The 18884-nt window shown below is 34.8% G+C and overlaps 1 protein-coding gene across 1 annotated transcript in view; it reads right to left on the minus strand.

Moving 5' to 3' along the window:
- ELOVL4 (ELOVL fatty acid elongase 4) overlaps positions 6244-18884 on the minus strand; it is a 32740-nt gene continuing 20099 nt past the window's right edge. Inside the window, exons 2-6 of the mRNA NM_022726.4 lie at positions 17624-17811; positions 16382-16462; positions 13055-13226; positions 10850-10977; positions 6244-8313 (exon numbers count right to left, since the gene is read on the minus strand). Of these exons, the coding sequence (NP_073563.1) occupies positions 8038-8313; positions 10850-10977; positions 13055-13226; positions 16382-16462; positions 17624-17811 (845 nt within the window). The 3' untranslated portion in view covers positions 6244-8037. The remainder of the gene's footprint in view (positions 8314-10849; positions 10978-13054; positions 13227-16381; positions 16463-17623; positions 17812-18884) is intronic.

The following is an 18884-nucleotide window of genomic DNA, read 5'->3' on the forward strand; positions in this document are numbered from 1 at the left end:
CTTTGAATTTACATGATTTGTTTTTTCCTCCCGCCTTCTGGCACACGCGTTCCTTACCAAGGAATCTATGATGGTTGCCACTTCCTACTCACCACAGCCAATCAGCATGATGCTAACCATGTAGTGGAACGAAGTGATGTCTTCTGGCATGATGAGACAGACAAGGTTCCTGTGGACTAGATTATTACAGAAAACTGGATAGCTGAGGTAAGATGGCAAAGACATACAGCTTACCCTACCAGGTGAAATGATTTCTGTCATCTCTTTGTTAGAAGGGAGAAAACCACTTTTAACAGATTCATAGCAACAAGTCAGCTCTGAACATTTTATTTGCTTCAGTTAACTACATCTGAAACAGCCATTGAATTTGGAGTTACATGGTTAATAATAATACACTCTCTCCAAGACTCCCCAGTTTCTGCTTGGGTCAAACAGGAGTGTTAAATGGGGGTACGACAAAAAATCATCACCCCTGAATTTTTCAGACCTTGGATGATGACATGGACCTCTGACATTCACCCAGAAATGTGGCAATACTTTTGGTCTACTGTTTCAATAAGAAGGGGACATTTTAGAAGCTTCAACTTGGTCCTTCATACCATAATGGCCTTCATTCCATGGGACAGGGAGCTAATGTGGGAGTTCAGCTGGAGGTTGAATATATCTAATCCAACTATACGTGCAGGAACTGGGAAGGGTATGTTTGAGGACCCACTGAATCACTGTGAGATGAACTCAGATCAAAATTATATTTATCACCTGGCCTCTATAAGCCTCCATTTTGACTGGTGAGCACAGTAGCAATTGGGGATGCCCAATGAGCAGCATCTGCTCAGAGTCAGTGTCCCAGTAATCCTCCCAAAGCGTGCTTATTTTCTTTCCCTTTTGGTGAAAGCTAGAAAGAGGACTGATAGTATATCCTGTGACATCACCAAAGAATATTTCAAGGGAATCCGATGTTCCCTCCATTTAAAAAACTCTGGGTCTGTGTACTGGAACAAGAATGGGAATTGGTGAGGGGCTGTGTCTCTCATTGTAATGACCCAAGTCCGGCCAGTGTTTATCAGATTAGTCAGTTATACTAGTCAAGAAGGACCTTAGTCTATCTATTTCAGTCCTCAGGACATCAAAATAAATTGGCCACCACCATAGATGCCCACAGGCCAAGCTATTCTAATAATAACTCTGGCTCTTTTGCCCATGACTATAATCATGTCTATTTTGTCTCTGGCATTTAAATACTGCCATTTGGCCTCTGCCAATCTGATACTCTAATTCCCACTGAAATTGAAATTAAGGGACTCATTTTAGGGACAGCTTCCTCCCTCCGTCATGATCCCAATCTATAGAAAGTAACCACTACAGAATTTTCCAAGGATGCTGGTGGAACTTACCAATAGATATCTCAAACATAGAGAGGGGCTAGTCAAGTGGGTCACACATGGTAGACCTTCTCCAACACTCCTAACTCCATTAAGTCTCTGGAGTCTCTCCTCCACATTATTCCAAAGAGTTTCTAACATATATCTGAGTTTAATATAGGCTGCCACTGAGTCCCTGATTCAGTTGAACAACTGAAAAACCAGTAAAGCTGCTCCTCACTGTTTAGCTATGTCCTCAAAATAAGAATTTTTGGTAATATATAAGAACTATATCAATAATTTCAGTTCATTCTAAAGAAATGTTTCTCCCTGCCTTAACACGCTGAGAACCTATTCCTACACATTCCTGCAAATGAAAATTAGCCAAATCCTATCATTCTAACTGCCTCCTCCCAGGATAGATTTTGTATTTGTTCTCCTGGGGCATGCTGCGATCTAATTCTCTTTGCAGCTCTGATGGCACTGAAAGGGGAGAAGGCAGGCATAAAGGGGATCAGCATCCCCTTGGAAGGTAACTACCTTGGTTGAGGTCATTATAGTATCTCAAGCAACAAAGGACTAATGTCATCTGATAGGGAAGACAGACTGCTTTTATGAACAGGCATATTCAAAGCAATTTAAAGATTCATGTTCTCAGGTTCATCCAAATCTACCCAAATATCCCCATTCTGTTTCTTTAGGTCCCATCCTTTCATGATCAATGCCACAAATTTCACACAGGAAACCACTGAGGCTGTGAAATCAAGTTGTAATTCTGCAATCCAAAGGAGCAAACTTTAAATCTTGTTTTAAGGCATTTTAAGTCTGCAGCTAAGATATATAAAAGGGTCTCTTGGGCAGGGGGTCAGGGCGGGTCATAGAAGCTGTCTGCAACTTTTTCCTTGCCCTAAGCCAAGAATTTAAAATAAGAGCAAACACTATTTCTGTAAGCTCTTCAGTGCTATAGGAAGCAATCCTTCCACTCAAGTTTTCTCTGTTTCTTATTTGCACCACAATAGTGCAATGCAGCAGCCAGTCTGTCAAAGGCTTGTCTTCAATAGCTATTCCATCCTATGTGGCCATAGGTGATCATTTAGCTATTTGCTTCACGGAAAACAGTATCCCATTTCCCAGTGGTCATGAAGTTATCACTGCCTATAAACTCAACTAAGTCAGATAACCAATGTCATATTGTATTTAAAAGTCAATTTCTTGATCAAATTTTGGTACTGAATACTGAGCTAGGTAAGGTTCATCACATATAATAGATACCACTCAAGGTATTCAAGCAGAAAATCTTTAATTCAAAAGAGTAGATGTTTATAAAATTATTGGTAACTTGGAGGAATAAAAGTCAGGAGGCTATCCTTAATCTTTAGCTTCAAATTCATACAACCACATCTGTCATAAGTGCCATCACCATTAGCACTGTCTGTATTCATAAAATTGATGCCAAGATAGTGGAACATGTTATCCAACTGTTTCCAACACTTTTGTCTGTAGGAGCCCACTTACATAATTGTGCTACTACAGAAAGGTGACACCCACCTCCTTCAGCCTTTGTAAAATTTCACGAGTGCCTCACATTGACAAAACCTAAACTTACGAGGGGATCACATGGGAATCTGAGAAATGTAATTTTTAGTTCCCCAAACTCTGTAATACTGAAGGAGGGGAGAATGAGAACACATCAAAGGGAAAGGAATGGATTCGTAGTGCCCATAAACAGCTACTACACTAACCTAAAGATGACGCCTGATTTCTGAAGTAGTTAATATTTGGGGTAGACTTCAGGATGTAAGCTCCAAATCTCAACTTTTAACGATAAATTAGAAATTTGTTACCCAAATTCATCTGGCTGCTCTTTTTCCTCATGAGTTCCCATATTACTTTTATTTCTGGAGGAAAGATTAGGTACCACTTTACAAGGGCTGGCAGTAATAATTCAAGCATAACAAAAACAAATGTTGAATAAATATAGCTTTGAAAAGCAGCTTTTCTTTTGCGATTATGTCTTTATGACATTTTTACTGAGATCTGAAATCACAATATATTGGAAACCTAACTGTATCATGTACAACTGACAAACCCTAACTATATAATATGCTTATAAAAATTGTAAATGTATTTGATCCCCAGATTTATTAATTAGAACACAAGCCACACTCTCAGGTGAGGTGTGACTGTTGCTAACATAATGCTATCTATCGTATAAGACTCATAATCTACCCACCCTCTAATTACCAAATAGCAAGCTAATCATTATTCTTGCAAGACTGGTTCCTAGGACAGCTTCCTCACAGGGAGGAGAAACTCAGTTGAAATATAATGCATCATGAATGACAAAGAAGGGATTTCAACTGGATGCTCTCTTTTTTCTCCCATGGCAAATTCAATGAAAATAAAATTTAACTGAGAAAAGGGGCAATCTGACTGGCTTCTATAAAATTGTAGAAAAGGGATTCAGGAATACCTAAAGACTGACAGAGTACATGGAATATGTACATGGACTGATGAAATATTCTTTATAACAATCTTGTATTAAATTGAGAAATAATAATTTCAAGATCCTATGTTTTTAGAAATAGCCATATTATTTAAACCTTTCAAGATTTTTTGTATTTAGGATGGCTTTTAATTTGGACATATTCTGTATAGATGTTCAAAAGCAATGTGACCTTCTGATAGCTGCATTATAATTAGATATTAAGTGATGTGTTTCAGCGTGCACTTTTTCTCTCTCAAAGGAGATACTACTTTATTAACACATTCCCTGGGATAACCTCATGTATGAGAATGGAAAAAAAAAAAAATCAAAATCTAAGTTGAGTTTCTATTTAAGACCAGATGGGTCTCCAAGGAAGAAATGAACAAAAATTTGCTCATGTGTATTGATGTGTAAACATGCTTTGTGTGGTAAATTGAAAAAGACAAGAAAAAAAAGGAAAAGGAAAAAAACAACACCCTAATTAAAAGAAAAAGATAGAAGAAAGTTTAATTTCTCAAAGGAAACAGCAAAACCGACATTTCTAAGTCTGAAAGAACACCAAGGGGTGACTGACTCATAGCATTCCCATTGATCATCTAAAGACAGCTCTGGATCCCCTTCTGGCTAAGTCACAAGGCTCTTCCAGTGATACATTCTAAAATCTTACAATCTTCATGTGGCAGTGGTTCTATATATCAATTATTTTAAATTTAGGTTTTTTAATCTCCTCCAGGATTCACAGCCTCCTATGAAAACAAATTCAAAAGGATCTTTGCCTTTCAATTCACAGCTGTGCCTTCCCCTCTGTAATTTATAGGAAAACTAACTTCTAACACTTACATGATTTGTAGTATTTTGAAACAAAAATATTAGGTTGGTGCAAAAATACAACAAAAAAGGAATCCATTTCTACTTCTCTTCCTTTTCACAAATATTCTTGTCATTCAGAAGTTATCTGCCTAAAATACAAAAGACTAAGCATGGATTCTAAATTACACCACTAATAAGGACTTGCTAAGGTCACTTGCCAAAATTACTTGCACGCTGAGTGGCAGGTGACCAATTTCCTTCAGCAGGTTTTATGATTACTGCTCAGATGTTGTGTGTTGTGTGCCTGTGTACAGAGCTCAGTATCAGTCTCTCACCTCTGCTGCCCTATTTACCATCTGGCAGGATGCTGAAATCTGCCACCCAGGTCCATGCTGAGCAGGCCAGCCAGCACACATCCTGGTTAGCTGTAGCTGTTTTTTTCTTAGTAAGCACGGTGTTATGAGTACAGCTGGCTGAGATTATGGCTATAACAAGGAAAGAACTGGGAGAGTGTGAACTCTTCAGTGTGGTGTCTCATTCTGAAGGTGAGAGAGATTCAAAAGTTCTGCTCCAATAGTCAATATATAGTATCTGACTTGTATTGTCAAATAGATAATACAACAAAAATCACTTATACCTCTATGTTCTCTTTCCCATTTACAGGGTAGCTGAGTTGCATATATGAAACAAGCCTGTAAATTAAAATATTCCTAATAAACTAAAAGCACTGCTAGATTCCATGTTCTAAAGTACAAACATAATAATCCATGTTAAAATATTTTTGAATACCTTGAGAGCATGCACAACAAGAGAAAGAGAATGAATTAATAATGTTAAAACTAAAACTAGTCATTTGTTAGTTTCCATCAGCAAAACAGTCAAAAGTAACAGACTTGGGAGGCCAAGGCAGGAGGATTGCTTAAGGTGAGGAGTTCAAGACCAGCCTGGGCAACATAGTGAAATCTCATTTCTACCAAAAAATGAAGAAGTAACAAAGGAAAGAGAAAGAGCTATGGTCATCTATTATAGAGGAAAACTCACATGTCTCAGGTATTTCTAGTTATTGTAAGTATTTAACAAATTCCTTGTCTTCTATGTAAGAAAATGTTACTTTAGTTAGTGACAAAGTTTTACCAAGTAGGAGACACAATCTTTATTCATCAGTTTCTAGATATAAGGCATGCAACATATCTGTGATAATAGAGAAATTATGAAAGCTACTGGAAAAGGCTGTATTTATGACATCTTATAATCATCTTCTATAAAGAAACTTATAGTAAGGACTGAATGATTTAAATGAAAGAATACAAGAACTTCCCCATTTATGTTAAGAATAATTTAGAAGAAAATGGTATGTTTTATGTCTGAATGAAAAGCTCTTCCAAAAGCAGCTAATTTTTAAAGTAAAAATATGCTACTATAGAAAATAAGCTTTTTACCAGAAATGGTAGATACCCAAGTTCTAGTTTGATTTTTTCTATATAAGAAATTAGCAGCAGAAAACAATTTAGAATTAACTAAATCAAATAAACATCTAGCAGACAGTTTACATTATAATAAACTGATTAACAAAAAAAAATCATATTTTTCCCACAGCAGAAGTATATTTATTGTGCTGAAATCAGGTAGCAGGGAATGAATAGCTCTTGGGAACCAGTACAGAATGTTCACAAAGATTTACAAATCTCAGTCATTACACACTGAGCAACAAAACAAAGGTGTTGAATCCTCTTAGATCAAACTACTTTATATGTTGCAAATTTTCTGTAATTCTCATGACTGCATGCCTTTGGGGAAAAAGTATTTAATTTTAATGCACAATAAATATGTTATAGCTTACAAAATATTCTGAAATAGTTTGTACAAACAGCATACATCCTACACATGCAGCTTTGACATGTTGTTGAGATACTTAAGAAATATTCATGCTTTTTTTTGGTCACATTTTGTCTTTCTCTAGTAATCCCTTTGCAACATCCCTTAAAAAATTAACCTATGTAGTAAAACATGATACAAATTCTTTCCTACTTTATTTCCAGTTGTTCACTTATATTACATGAAATACTTCATTTGTAAATAGCAAATTGAATGTTATAGTTCTGACTACTCTCACTTTTATTCATTTTGTGTTTTAACAACACCTTGTAACATCAAGCATTGAATTTAACAATCTTTAGCACCAAGGAGTCAAGAATATTGCACCAAAATGGGTTTATACTTCATACCTAGTTAATAAATAAGATCTTGCAACTTAGTCACAAGGAAAACGTTACTCCAAAATTAAACACATTGAAAGAGAAGGATAGTTTCACAGAAATGTTTGGTGTATGCTATTTGTCATAAAAGCAAAAAAAATACTAGTGGATTTGAAAGTTAACATTAAAATTTACATTAGAAGACTCCTTGATTTTTTAATTAAAATTTATTTAATTTTAAATGTTCTTTCCAACGGAAGAGGTAGGTATATTTCCACATATGAAAAATCAGGAACAGCCATAAATCAAAACAAGGAAAGCCTGATAAAAATCAACATATTCTAACAGCACATAAATGTAACTATCTTATGATGTTACTAATAAAGACATGAGTTGTTTCATGTTTCAATCAGACAATAATCTTAATTTTCATAATATATTTCTGCTACTAACAGGAGTATTCAAATGCTGCCTTTTCATCACAAAAAATTGTTTCCCCACAGTGATTTGTGCCTCAAGTCATGGTGATCTCTGGGTCACCAGACAAGACTTTACTGCAATTCTTTCTTATTTTCACCAACACCATCATCATCAAGCCTCTAAGATTCTACAGAGATCAGCAGATTTTAAAAATTTAATTACAACCAAAATTATACTCTGACTAGAGGTGGAGAGATTTGACCATTCCGGTCAGCAAATGAATTCAAATGTGCAAGTTTAAGTGTATACACATTTTCAGCTTTGGACAAGAAAATGTAACACCACTGATTTCAGTCAGTAGATAAGATAATTAGTAATTTATCAAAATAATTCATAAAGACCGTTTCTGTGATCGTCTAAAATTCAGACCGAAGAATGAGTGACTATAAGATACATGAAAAATCTCATCCTTTAGACAACTGGATGTGAACAGGGGGAGAATCCCCAAAGTCACTTAATGATTGCTTTGGTCTGGAGAATATCAAGGCTAATTTTTAAAAAAAATGTTTAAAATAAAAACTTCATAAATAAAACATCTGGGTATGGTATTAACACTTTACTCAGTCTAAGAGTTACTAGGACATAGAGCACATTTGTCTTTTCTCCCCACCCCCAAGCTCTCCTTTGCTTCTGTTTTCCCTGAAATTTTATATGATATGGGAGTTTTTCCTCACTGTCAACAACAGTTAAGGCCCAGTTCAATTTAATCTCCTTTTGCTTTTCCATTTTTCTGCTTTTTTCCATTTTCTATCATGAGTTGTTTTTCTGATTTGCTCACACCATTTGCTGAAATACCATTCATGGCTGTTTTTCCAGCTTTTGGTTTCTTAGGCTCTTTGTATGTCCGAATGTAGAAGTTAAGAAAGAGAAATATGAAGCTGATTGCATAGGCAATTAGAGCCCAGTGCATCCATTTGGGGAAGGGGCAGTCAGTGTAAAGAGACAGTGCCGTGTGCCCAATGGTCACATGGAATTGAATCTGAAAAACAGAAATGACAGCACAAAACATTTAATCTGAATAGTAAACAACTTTTAACAACATCGGCATCTTCTACATAGCTATCACAGGCCCAAATTTTGCCACACTGTGCAAAATTTATTGTTTTCTGGCTCCCATGGCTAGCTCCTCATTCACAACTCAAATGCCATCTCCTCAGTAAGGACTCTCTGACAAGACTTCAATTTCAATTGGCCCTCCCAATCCCATTAACCAAAGAGCTTTCTGCATTTTTTTTAAGGAGAATTATACCTATTTGAAATTGTCTTCTGTATTTGTTATTTCTTTATTGCCTATCTTTCCACTAGAAAATGACTCTAGAAGGCAGGGCTTTGTCTTGCCCATCGGTGATTCTTGAGTCCTCAGCACAGCATCAGGATCAATGAATATGTGTTGAATAATGTTATCTGATGAAAGGGAATCAATGGCCTAGGAGAGTAAAGTAATAGTATTGTAGGCTCTTCAATTTTGTTTTCCTCCCACATTTTACATTGGTTTCTTTCTATCAAATTGTCAGCAAGCAGATACACATACTTAAAATGAGCTTATCAAAATGGCTCATTTATTTCTTACAGATAGTAGGCAGGTAAATTTTTATTTGAACGAACACTATCCTTTAAAAACTAATATTTTGATGGCCAGGTGCGATGGCTCATGCCTGCAATCCCAGCACTCTGGGAGGCCGAGGCGGGTGGATCAACTGAGGTCAGGAGTTCAAGACCAGCCTGGCCAACATGGTAAAACCCCATTTCTACTAAAAATACAAAAAATTAGCCAGGTGTGGTGGTCCATGACTGTAATCCCAGCTACTCAGGAGGCTGAAGCAGAAGAATAGCTTGAACCCAGGAGGCGGAAGTTACAGTGAGCCCAGACTGCACCATTGCACTCCAACTTGGGCAACAAGAGCAAAACTCCGTCCCAAAAAAAGAAAAAAATAATATTTGGATAAAATTTAGTAGATATTTCAGAATAAATACAAAAAGAATCACTTTCAACTTTAAGAATTTTTAAAAGGAAAAAAGCCCAAAGTGAGATGATTAAAATGAAATAGATTCTGATGTATCAATAAAAGAATGGGTCAAGACATAATGTTAACAAGGGTTAACTTTTTATACAATTAACTTATATGACTAACTGTTGTGGGAACTTCTGGCTTGGAAATACAAACTCAACATCCTGTTTGAAATGGACAATTGTGGTTTCTCTTTTAAGGATAGCATTGTTCTTAAAATATTAATTATTGATTAAAATAATCAGTATTACTTATTTTAAATATTAAAATAATGTATGCCATGTAAGCTAAAAATTTATACTATATTAAACTTTTATAATTTTCCTTGGCAAATATTTTAATTTGAAGAACTTGTGGTTTCACAATGGTTTTTAGAAGCTGCATCACCAAAAAGGGTGTGTATAAGGGTGTGATTGGGTATGGCATCACTCAAGGAGAGCCAGGTGTAGGCTCCAACAAACCAGATAGGACTAATTCACATGATTTTGATCACCTCTTCATTTTCTTAGGTCCATTTACTACTTACTGAGAGAAATGAATTACACAAACTGTGTTAACAGCTTTTACACAAAAACTGGAGGAAGCTTCCTATACCACTCCGGTTACAAATGAATCCTTCGCACCCAGCATTTCCCAAAAGTTGTGCTTCCTGTTTGGTTAGCCAGCTGTTTAGCAACTTAAAGCAAAGATGAATATTATTTCCAAATGTGATTCCACTGATAAAATTGTGCACATGCTATGATTAAAGCAAATTATAATAAATTCTAAAGCTTGAAAAATAGTTACCAGGTTGGCTTTGAATTTCCAGTTTGATTACAGGCTAGTGCCTAGCATCTGAAAGGTACACTAATGCACACACTCAGATTGCCACAAACAGTCTTACTAGCGGGATGTGCTGAAAACTGTCTGGACTAAAGACCACCATTTGAAAATATCTGTCTCTGCTCTCTTAAGGACAGTGTTTTAGAGAATTACAAGGAGTTCTCTTGCCCTTATTCCCTTCCTTTGCCCCACCCCTTCCTTGGCTATGTGCTTTCTTTTCAGCTGTTTAGTCTAAATATATGAGATATGTTAAAGACTGAAAAATGAAATAAAAAACAAAATTTTTAAGCAAGGACAAGATGAAGAAAGGTAATAAAATTTTAAGTTAAGAAAATCACCTGTAGGGAAAAAATACATATTATTTTTCTATTCATACTACGTACTTTGTAGCGTGCTTAGATCTTTAATCATCCTTTCCACAAACATCTTTAGAGAATGTTTTCCTTAGAGGAGTAAGGGCTATGTCTAGTCTTTTAAGCATATTATAAAAACAAAGATTTGCTGGGACCAATAAGTCTATGAATAGGTCATCTAGAGTCAAGTGGGCATAACTGCGATATAGCTGGAGGATAAAGTTAATTTCATAATAGAAAATTGTCTAAAATGACATTGCACTTTAAAATTAATCAAATTTAAACAATTTCAGTATTTTACCAGAAGAAACTTTGGAAGCATTTAACTCACCAGTTGCAACATAGTCAGGTATCGTTTCCACCAAAGATATTTCTGAATCCATGGGCCAAATGCAGTTAACCCATAGTATGAGTACATAATCACATGGATAAAGGAATTCAACTGGGCTCCAAAAAATGCTTTAGAAAAACAACAGGTAATTACAAGATACAGAAAATTTTATTAGGCAGTAAGCCACTGAGATGTACAATAAATGAATACACATTATTTTTTAATATTTAATCTTGAGTACAGATTAGAAATGAAAAATATAAAGTAGTACTAATGAAAAAGTTTTCCCTTCAGATTAAGCTAGATATTTTTAAAGTTTAGATTTGAGGTTTTACCATATAAATAAAAATGTATGTTCAAATGCAAAGGACTTTCACAGTTGTAGGTTTTCAAATGGAGTACTCCAGTGAGCTTAAATAGGCCCTTAGAACTGTTGCCTATGTTACTTTTAATTCTACTATTCTTGCCTTTAGATGTGCCAATATATATATCTGCAACAAAACAGTACTTATTTCTTAGGTTTCTAAATAGTTTAAAATATGACAGCACTACACACATTGAATAATTCATTTAATATAGATAAATCTACAGAGATATTCCAGTCAGTCAAACTCAATGACATTCTTTCTTTTCAGAATATTAATTTAATCAAGGTATAGATGTAATAATAATTAATTTTTGTCATAAAGTGATCTAAGTCAGTTCAGATTTACTAATTTTCTTTTAAAATTACAGAAGTTGCCTTTAACTGTATTGTTTTAAACTGGGCCCCCAATAATATATGTATGAATTCCTAAGCTGCCAATTATCATAATATGACAATGGAAAGCAGCAAGGTGAACTATACTATAATGACTTGTACCCTGGATCCTCCTCAGAGGAATAATCTGCATCAAGCTCAACAATGTGAATCATCCTTAATCTACAGGCATCTGAAAAGACAGGAGGCAGATCTTGGCCAAGCTATGAATTTAGATCCTCTTTAACATTAACAAGGCTATATAAAATTTCCTTTGAATAAGAACCAACAAGACCTATACAGGCTGAGTATTCCTTATCCAAAATGCTCAGGACCAGATGTGTTTCTGATTTCAGATTTTTTTAAACTTTGGAATATTTGCATAGACATAATGATGTGTCTTGGGGATAGGACTCAGGTCTAAATCCAAAACTTCATATACACCTTATACATGTATCCTGAAGGTAATTTTATAAAATTTTAAAATAATTTTATGCATTAAACAAAGTTTGTGTACTCTGAACATCAGAAAGCAAAGATGTCACCCGTGTGGACATTATCTGTGGTTGTTTGGCATCAACATTATGCTGTACATGGAAAAGGGCTAAGAGGGTCTTTTTTCCCTTAGGTATACTGAATAAAGTGTGTTCTGCACTTGTGTTTTGACTGTGACCCATCACATGAGGTCAGGTGTGTAATTTTCCACCTGTGGTATCATGCTGGTGCTCAAAAAGTTTTGAATTTTGGAGCATTTGGATTTCAGATGTTTAGATTAGGGATGTTCAATCTGTATTAGGGCAGGAGTGAGCTATGGGCTAAGATGGAAATCTTCAGATTTGAGGGGCTGTGTCTTGGTATTCTTTGGATCAGAACTACTAGACCCGTTCCCCATCAAAATATTGTTTTCTACCTTTAGTCTTGGTTTATGCTCATCTCTGGGGCAAATCTTTAGGTATTAAAGTAGTCACAGATAAAAAGCAAAAGTTATACTTGCCTCAAATTTTTTAAAAAATGAAATGATGGCTGGGTGTGGTGGCTCATGCTTGTAATCCCAACACTTTGGAAGGCCGAGGCAGGCGGATCACAAGGTCAAGAGATCGAGACCATCCTGGCCAACATGGTGAAACCCTGTCTCTACTAAAAATACAAAAAATTAGCTAGGCGTGGTGGTGTGTGCCTGTAGTCCCAGCTACTCAGGAGGCTGAGGCAGGAGAATCGCTGGAACCCGGGAGGTGGAGGTTGCAGTGAGCCGAGATCGCGCCACTGCACTCCAGCCTGGTGACAGAGCGAGACTCCATCTCAAAAAAAAAAAAAAAAAAAAAAAAAAAAAAGAAATGAACATGGAAATGATTAACCATGAAAGCAAGTTAAATGGTAGATCAAGTCAAAGTCCTAGGTTCTCATTGCTTTCCACTGAACACATATATGCAATTAAACGCAAGCAGTATATTCCTGAAAATGCTCACCTTGTCCTCCTGCAACCCACTTAATTCCAATCCACCACAAGGTAAACATCGTACAGTGATGATACACATGAAGGAAAGAAACTTGGTTGTTTTTCTTTCTCAGAATAAAAAACACTGTGTCCAAATACTCAACTCCTTTAGATACAAAGTACCACCACAGAGCAGCAGCTATCTGTAAAAAGGGAAAGCGTGTTATAAACACCAAAATGACACTATTGTATGGGTTTATACTCATTGTAAGTAAGTCCAAAATAAACATTTGTATATTGCACAAAATGTACAAGGCATGGAATCATTAATGGCTAAGTAGGTTTGAAAAACCTAAGCATCTCTCCATGGGGAAAAATAGAAAAGAAAGAGTCCAAAGCTCTATCTATACAGTGCCAATAAGTTAGAGAACATTTTCTGTCTATTCCATAGGTAGATGTTACATAGTGTCAAACTGCTGAATACAGAGCTGGAAGCACATTCAGACTGCTGTGCTTTTCAACTTGGTAGAGGAACTAAGATGTTTACTTTGTAAAATGATTTTAGTTGTTCATGCTTAGCCTACATTATACTACCTCAGAAAAACTTGCAAGTAAGTTCATGTAGCAACTGGTCTCTACAAGTGTCTGCCTGTCTGCCCACCCTCTCCCCTCACCTCCCTCTCTCCCTCACCTCTCCGACTGCACCAATATGTGCAACAACATAAATATCCAATCACAGCAGTTTGTATTAGGTATTAAATCTTTAAAATAAAAAATTGGAATGAACAAACAAATATTTCCCAGGTCATAAATATAATCCTGCTTACATGAATAAGTCTTTTCTTTTCCTGGGCTCTAATTAAGGCACCAGATGGTACAGAAAGATTACATTACATACTGAGATTAAGGATCCAGTGAGAGGTGACCTCTGTATGTTTTAAAATGTTTTACAAGAATCCTACTGTAACAGTAAACCAAACTTAATTTTTTATGTCAAGTATTTTCTATGATAAGCATCCTATGTGCAAATAACAATTAAGGCAGTACATAACTAAAATCTATTTATAAGCTTTCATGTGTTAGGGCCCTGTCAGATTCATTCACAGACAGGCTTAGGTGTTTTAGAGTTGAAGGATCCCTTTGCATTTTATACCTGCACCTGGTATATGTCATGAGATTTTTGTTTGTTTTGGCTTTTGCATTTGAAAAACAAAATTATAATTTTAAAGTATGGGGAAAGAAGAAACAGAAAGCATATAAGAAACAAAGTATTTACAAACTGAGAATTATTTACTGAATTTACTTGAAAAATATCATTAAAAATGATATGAATTGGTTGAAAATAAGCTTGAAATAGTTAACTACTCCCAGCAACACTATAGTTAATATTCACTATTATATTAGTTCTTTAAAATAAAGTAACTGTCACCATTTTGGCATCGTAACCTTTAACTAGAAGGAAAGATACAATCTCTTATTTCTCCTCTATCTGGACCTCTACATTTGCCACAATTCACATAAAATAACAACAAATAAGTCTGCTTAGTTTGCAAACTGCACTAGATATCTTTAAATAAACTACACCAAAAAGTGATACTTCTTGGCTACGTAACAATGAATACAGAAATGAGTCTCTGCGTAAAATATTCACTCTATTGCATCCCATATTAGAGAGGAGAAGAGAGCACGAGGAAGATTTCAAATGAAATCTGTTGCAAATCTCAGGTTCTTTATCCTCCTAGATTACAGTTCTCATAATAGCTCATTTTTTAAAGACTTGAAAATTTACATCTGTAAGTGAGAGTGGTATTTTTAAACCTTTATCCTAAAAATAGTAATATGTTGCCCCACCCAAGGGTTTTTCTATGCATACTCCCAGAAGTCAGTCAGTCAAACACTTATCCCTGTTCCCTTCCCTACGGCAAGCAAGAAGTCAGCCCTCCAACTGAAGAGATTCTTTGGCAATAGTTATCAGAAGAAAATTTTTCATAGCCAATACATCTGAGTAGTCTCTCATTTTCTCTCAGTCACCTTCTAGGTTTTATTTCCTCCTTAGTCATTTGTTTACATGGCTGCTGTCTGCCTTCTCACCCTCACTAAAATGCCAGCCCCACAAAGGCAGGGCTTTTCACCCCTGTCCCCAGTACCAACATATAGTAGATGCTCAATACATATTTAATGAATAAATAAAACCAACATGACAACCAAGACAGGTGATTTTTCATCAGTCCATAAGTCTTCTAATAGGGAAATGAAGATACGTACATAAAATTGTTAAGTACATTAAACCAATTTTGTCTCCAGTCTTGATGAATACTGATATTTATATATTGTCCACTCCCCATGCCAGGAAACTATTTTTCTCAAGGGAAGCCACTAGATATTATTACTACATATACTATAGGTAACATAAAACATGTTATGTTTTATATGTAATTTCTAGTATGAACCACAGTATATAAGAAGAGTTCAATAAATACGTAATAGAATAAGGTAATCTGTTGTTTCTTTTGCTTAATGTTAATTTTACTCATGTAAGTGAATGGAAAATAAAATATAACATCTTGTTACTAGTGTTTTATTTTTCTGCAAATATAAAAAAACTGAGTTTATGCCAATACAAATTGTTCTATGCCTAATTTCCTAAATATTCCACACTTCACAAAACATTTACTTTTCCTCACTTTCTTAACACATAACTTGGACTCTAAGAGTTTCTACTCTTGAGCAAAAACAAACAAACAAAAATCTAAAATAATGTCTTTAAAATAAACATGAGACTTCTTTGCTTTAACAAGTACTGCATTCTAGTAATTCAATGCATATTCACTCATGCTGCAAAATAAAAAACATTTTTGAGATACAAAAACAAATTTTAAATTAAGTACTTTTTAAAAAAGCATAGTTTTACTGACTCATAACAATCTAGTATAATTTCACTATCATATTAAAGTACATTTTGCCAGGTGTGGTGGCTCACACCTGTAATCTCAGCACTTTGGGAGGCTGAGGCAAGAGGATCCCTTGCGGCTGGGAGTTCAAGACCAGACTGGGCAACATAGCAAGACCCTGTCTCTACAAAAAGTAAAAAAATATCTAGGCATGGTGGGGTACACCCGTAGTCCCAGCTACTTGGGAGGCTGAGGCAGAAGGATCAATTGAGCCCAGGAGTTTGAGGCTGCAGTGAGCTATGATCATACCACTGCACTTCAGTCTGGGGGACAGAGCAAGAAACTGTCTCTAAATGAATGTTAAAGAAACTGTCTCTTAAAAAAAAGTACATTCTATATTTTCACAGACTGGGGCCTATAAAAATCAAACCACTTTTACTGATTAAGAGTATTTTTAATGTACTTACCCTGACTTCATGAACATTATTAGAATAATCCACACTCTGGCAAATATAGCTATATCCCGCATTATATGATCCCATGAATAACTGGAAAAAGAGTAATAATATTTGTAGTAAAGTTTTAGTAAACACAGCATTAAAAACACAATTATATACAAAATGTAGCCTTTCAAATTATTTTAAACACAATATTTTCTTTAAAAATTTCAAATGCATTAAAAATTTCATGCATTCCGATTGCTAGAAGTTACTGTGCATTAATTTGTTCTATAATTAAAATCTAAATTAAAAATCACATGTAAATTTTATACTGAACATTGACTCTATCTATTAAATACTTCACAGTATTAAGAGAAATTTTTATTGCTAGGACTCAGATTTCAAAGTTGTCCTACCTTAACTGGTTTCTATGTTTGATCCAGAGTGGTTTGCATCTAACAAATTAGGTACAGGTATCCAAATAAATTAAAGTGTTCATGAAGTTGAGACTCGAGGCTAAGTTTTCAAGTAAAGAAATATTTCTTTTTCTAAGAAGAGTTATTGTTTATTTTCCTAGCATTACTAGTCAGTTCTCTGGCTTCATACAGAATTTTAATGAGTCTCTTAGGAAACAAATTCTTTATACATATGCAATTTAAAAAATGGCTGTGTCAATCTAGCCTTTAGGATTTCCTTTGAAAATGTTGTGGAGAATTTGCTAGTGCCCAGAAAAGTATATAATGATTAGTAACAACAGCTATATGGCAGTTAATTCATTTTAATTCCAGCCCAAAATACAACATTATGTAATAGGATTTACTTGAAATTGGCATATTTTGATCAGTTACCAAACCAGAAACTACTGAATAAGAATTATAAATAAATAGCTGCTACTGTTTACTGAGTGCTTAATACGTGCCAAACACTATGCAAAAATTATCTTACTTTACTCCGATAATAACCTGAGATGGTAGGTATTTAAGTGGGGAAAACGAGGCTAAGAAAAGTTAAATAACTTTCAATGCCAGAACAGCTAATAAGGGTTACTTTAGAATCCAGTTGGTCTTATTCAAAATTCCACTTTAAACAACTTTCCTATACCTCATGTTTAATATTTTTGTTATTCAAAAGTGAAAAATGTCAAAAATGTACTTTTAGAGTAGCTAACAGTTATGTCTGGGTAAAATATTACAATGATGGTTTTACACATTCTCATTTTTAAATTTCCAATAACCTTGGAAAATTATTAAAGTGATCTTAAAAACATACCTCTCTGAAGATAAAGAGGTTAAGCAAAACCATCCCAAAATTATAGATAATGAGCACTAGACGCATCTGAAAAGGTTCTCGGTCCTTCATCCATTTTGGACCCAGCCACACAAACAGGAGATAAAGAGTGCTTATACTTAGTGTAGGCCAAGGAGACTGCATCAGAGGCCAATTTTCCACACGCTTATCTATAGAGAGAACAAAATACCATAAAATTCATTAATCAGTAAATGTTTTATAAAATACACTTTTTAGGAATCAAGATGTTTCAACTTAATTTCCTAATTTGACTAAATACGGATCACTGTCCTTTGAGTCCCAACAAAAAATACATGGTATAAAAACCAAAGAAACAATACTGACTCCTGCAAGTGGCTTTTGAAAATTATGCTTCATTACTTATGTCACACATTATGTTTTACAGAGACCCTACAGAACAAAAACAAGAAATAAAGCGCACTAAAAACAGAGGTGGTTATCTTGGGATGAAAAGTTAATGAAAAACTTCATACACAGAAAATAAATATGTTAAGGAAACATTTGTCTTCCATATTATACACGTGAAATTTATCAGGGCAGCTTGGAGGCTGCTCTGTGTGTCCACTCCTAAAGCAGGCAAGAATGTAACTGGAGAGGTACGTACGGGGCGATGGTAGCCATTTGCTGAAATATCTCGAGACACTGAAGACAAGAGTACAGGGGCACTGAGAGATTAAGTTAGGGTTAATTACAATTCTATAATGTAAACAGTCACCATATTCAAGACATTTTTCTAACTTTTTCATTGAGAACATGCACCTATTTTATTCCCATGAATAACTAACTTGAATGTTTTTCTCTAGAGCTGTAAATCGCATAACTTACATATGTGTAACTATATATATAAAATGCAACACATTATTTTACTTAAAATGAATTGATTGTCCAGCATATTCAAATACACAACCATAAATCAATTTTATAATGGAATGTTGCCACAAGTAAAACATTTCTGAAACAAGCATGATAATGAAATATGGATGGGATTAACAAAAATTCATCTTTTAACACATTATAAAAATATATTAATATTAATTTTTATATTTCTAAAAGCTAAACAACAGTTGAAGGTTGCAAATCTAATTTCTAGTTTATTCTTGGCAATGCAAAACATTTTATGTCGTATTTTGAAGAAATAATGTATTTTTAAAGTAGTAAAAGAAAATTCAACTTCTTAGAACCAACCTAAATGAATTTAACTTAATTGTTGATCATAATAACT

Source organism: Homo sapiens, chromosome 6 (assembly GCF_000001405.40).
Source record: "Homo sapiens chromosome 6, GRCh38.p14 Primary Assembly".
Classification (NCBI taxonomy): domain Eukaryota; kingdom Metazoa; phylum Chordata; class Mammalia; order Primates; family Hominidae; genus Homo; species Homo sapiens.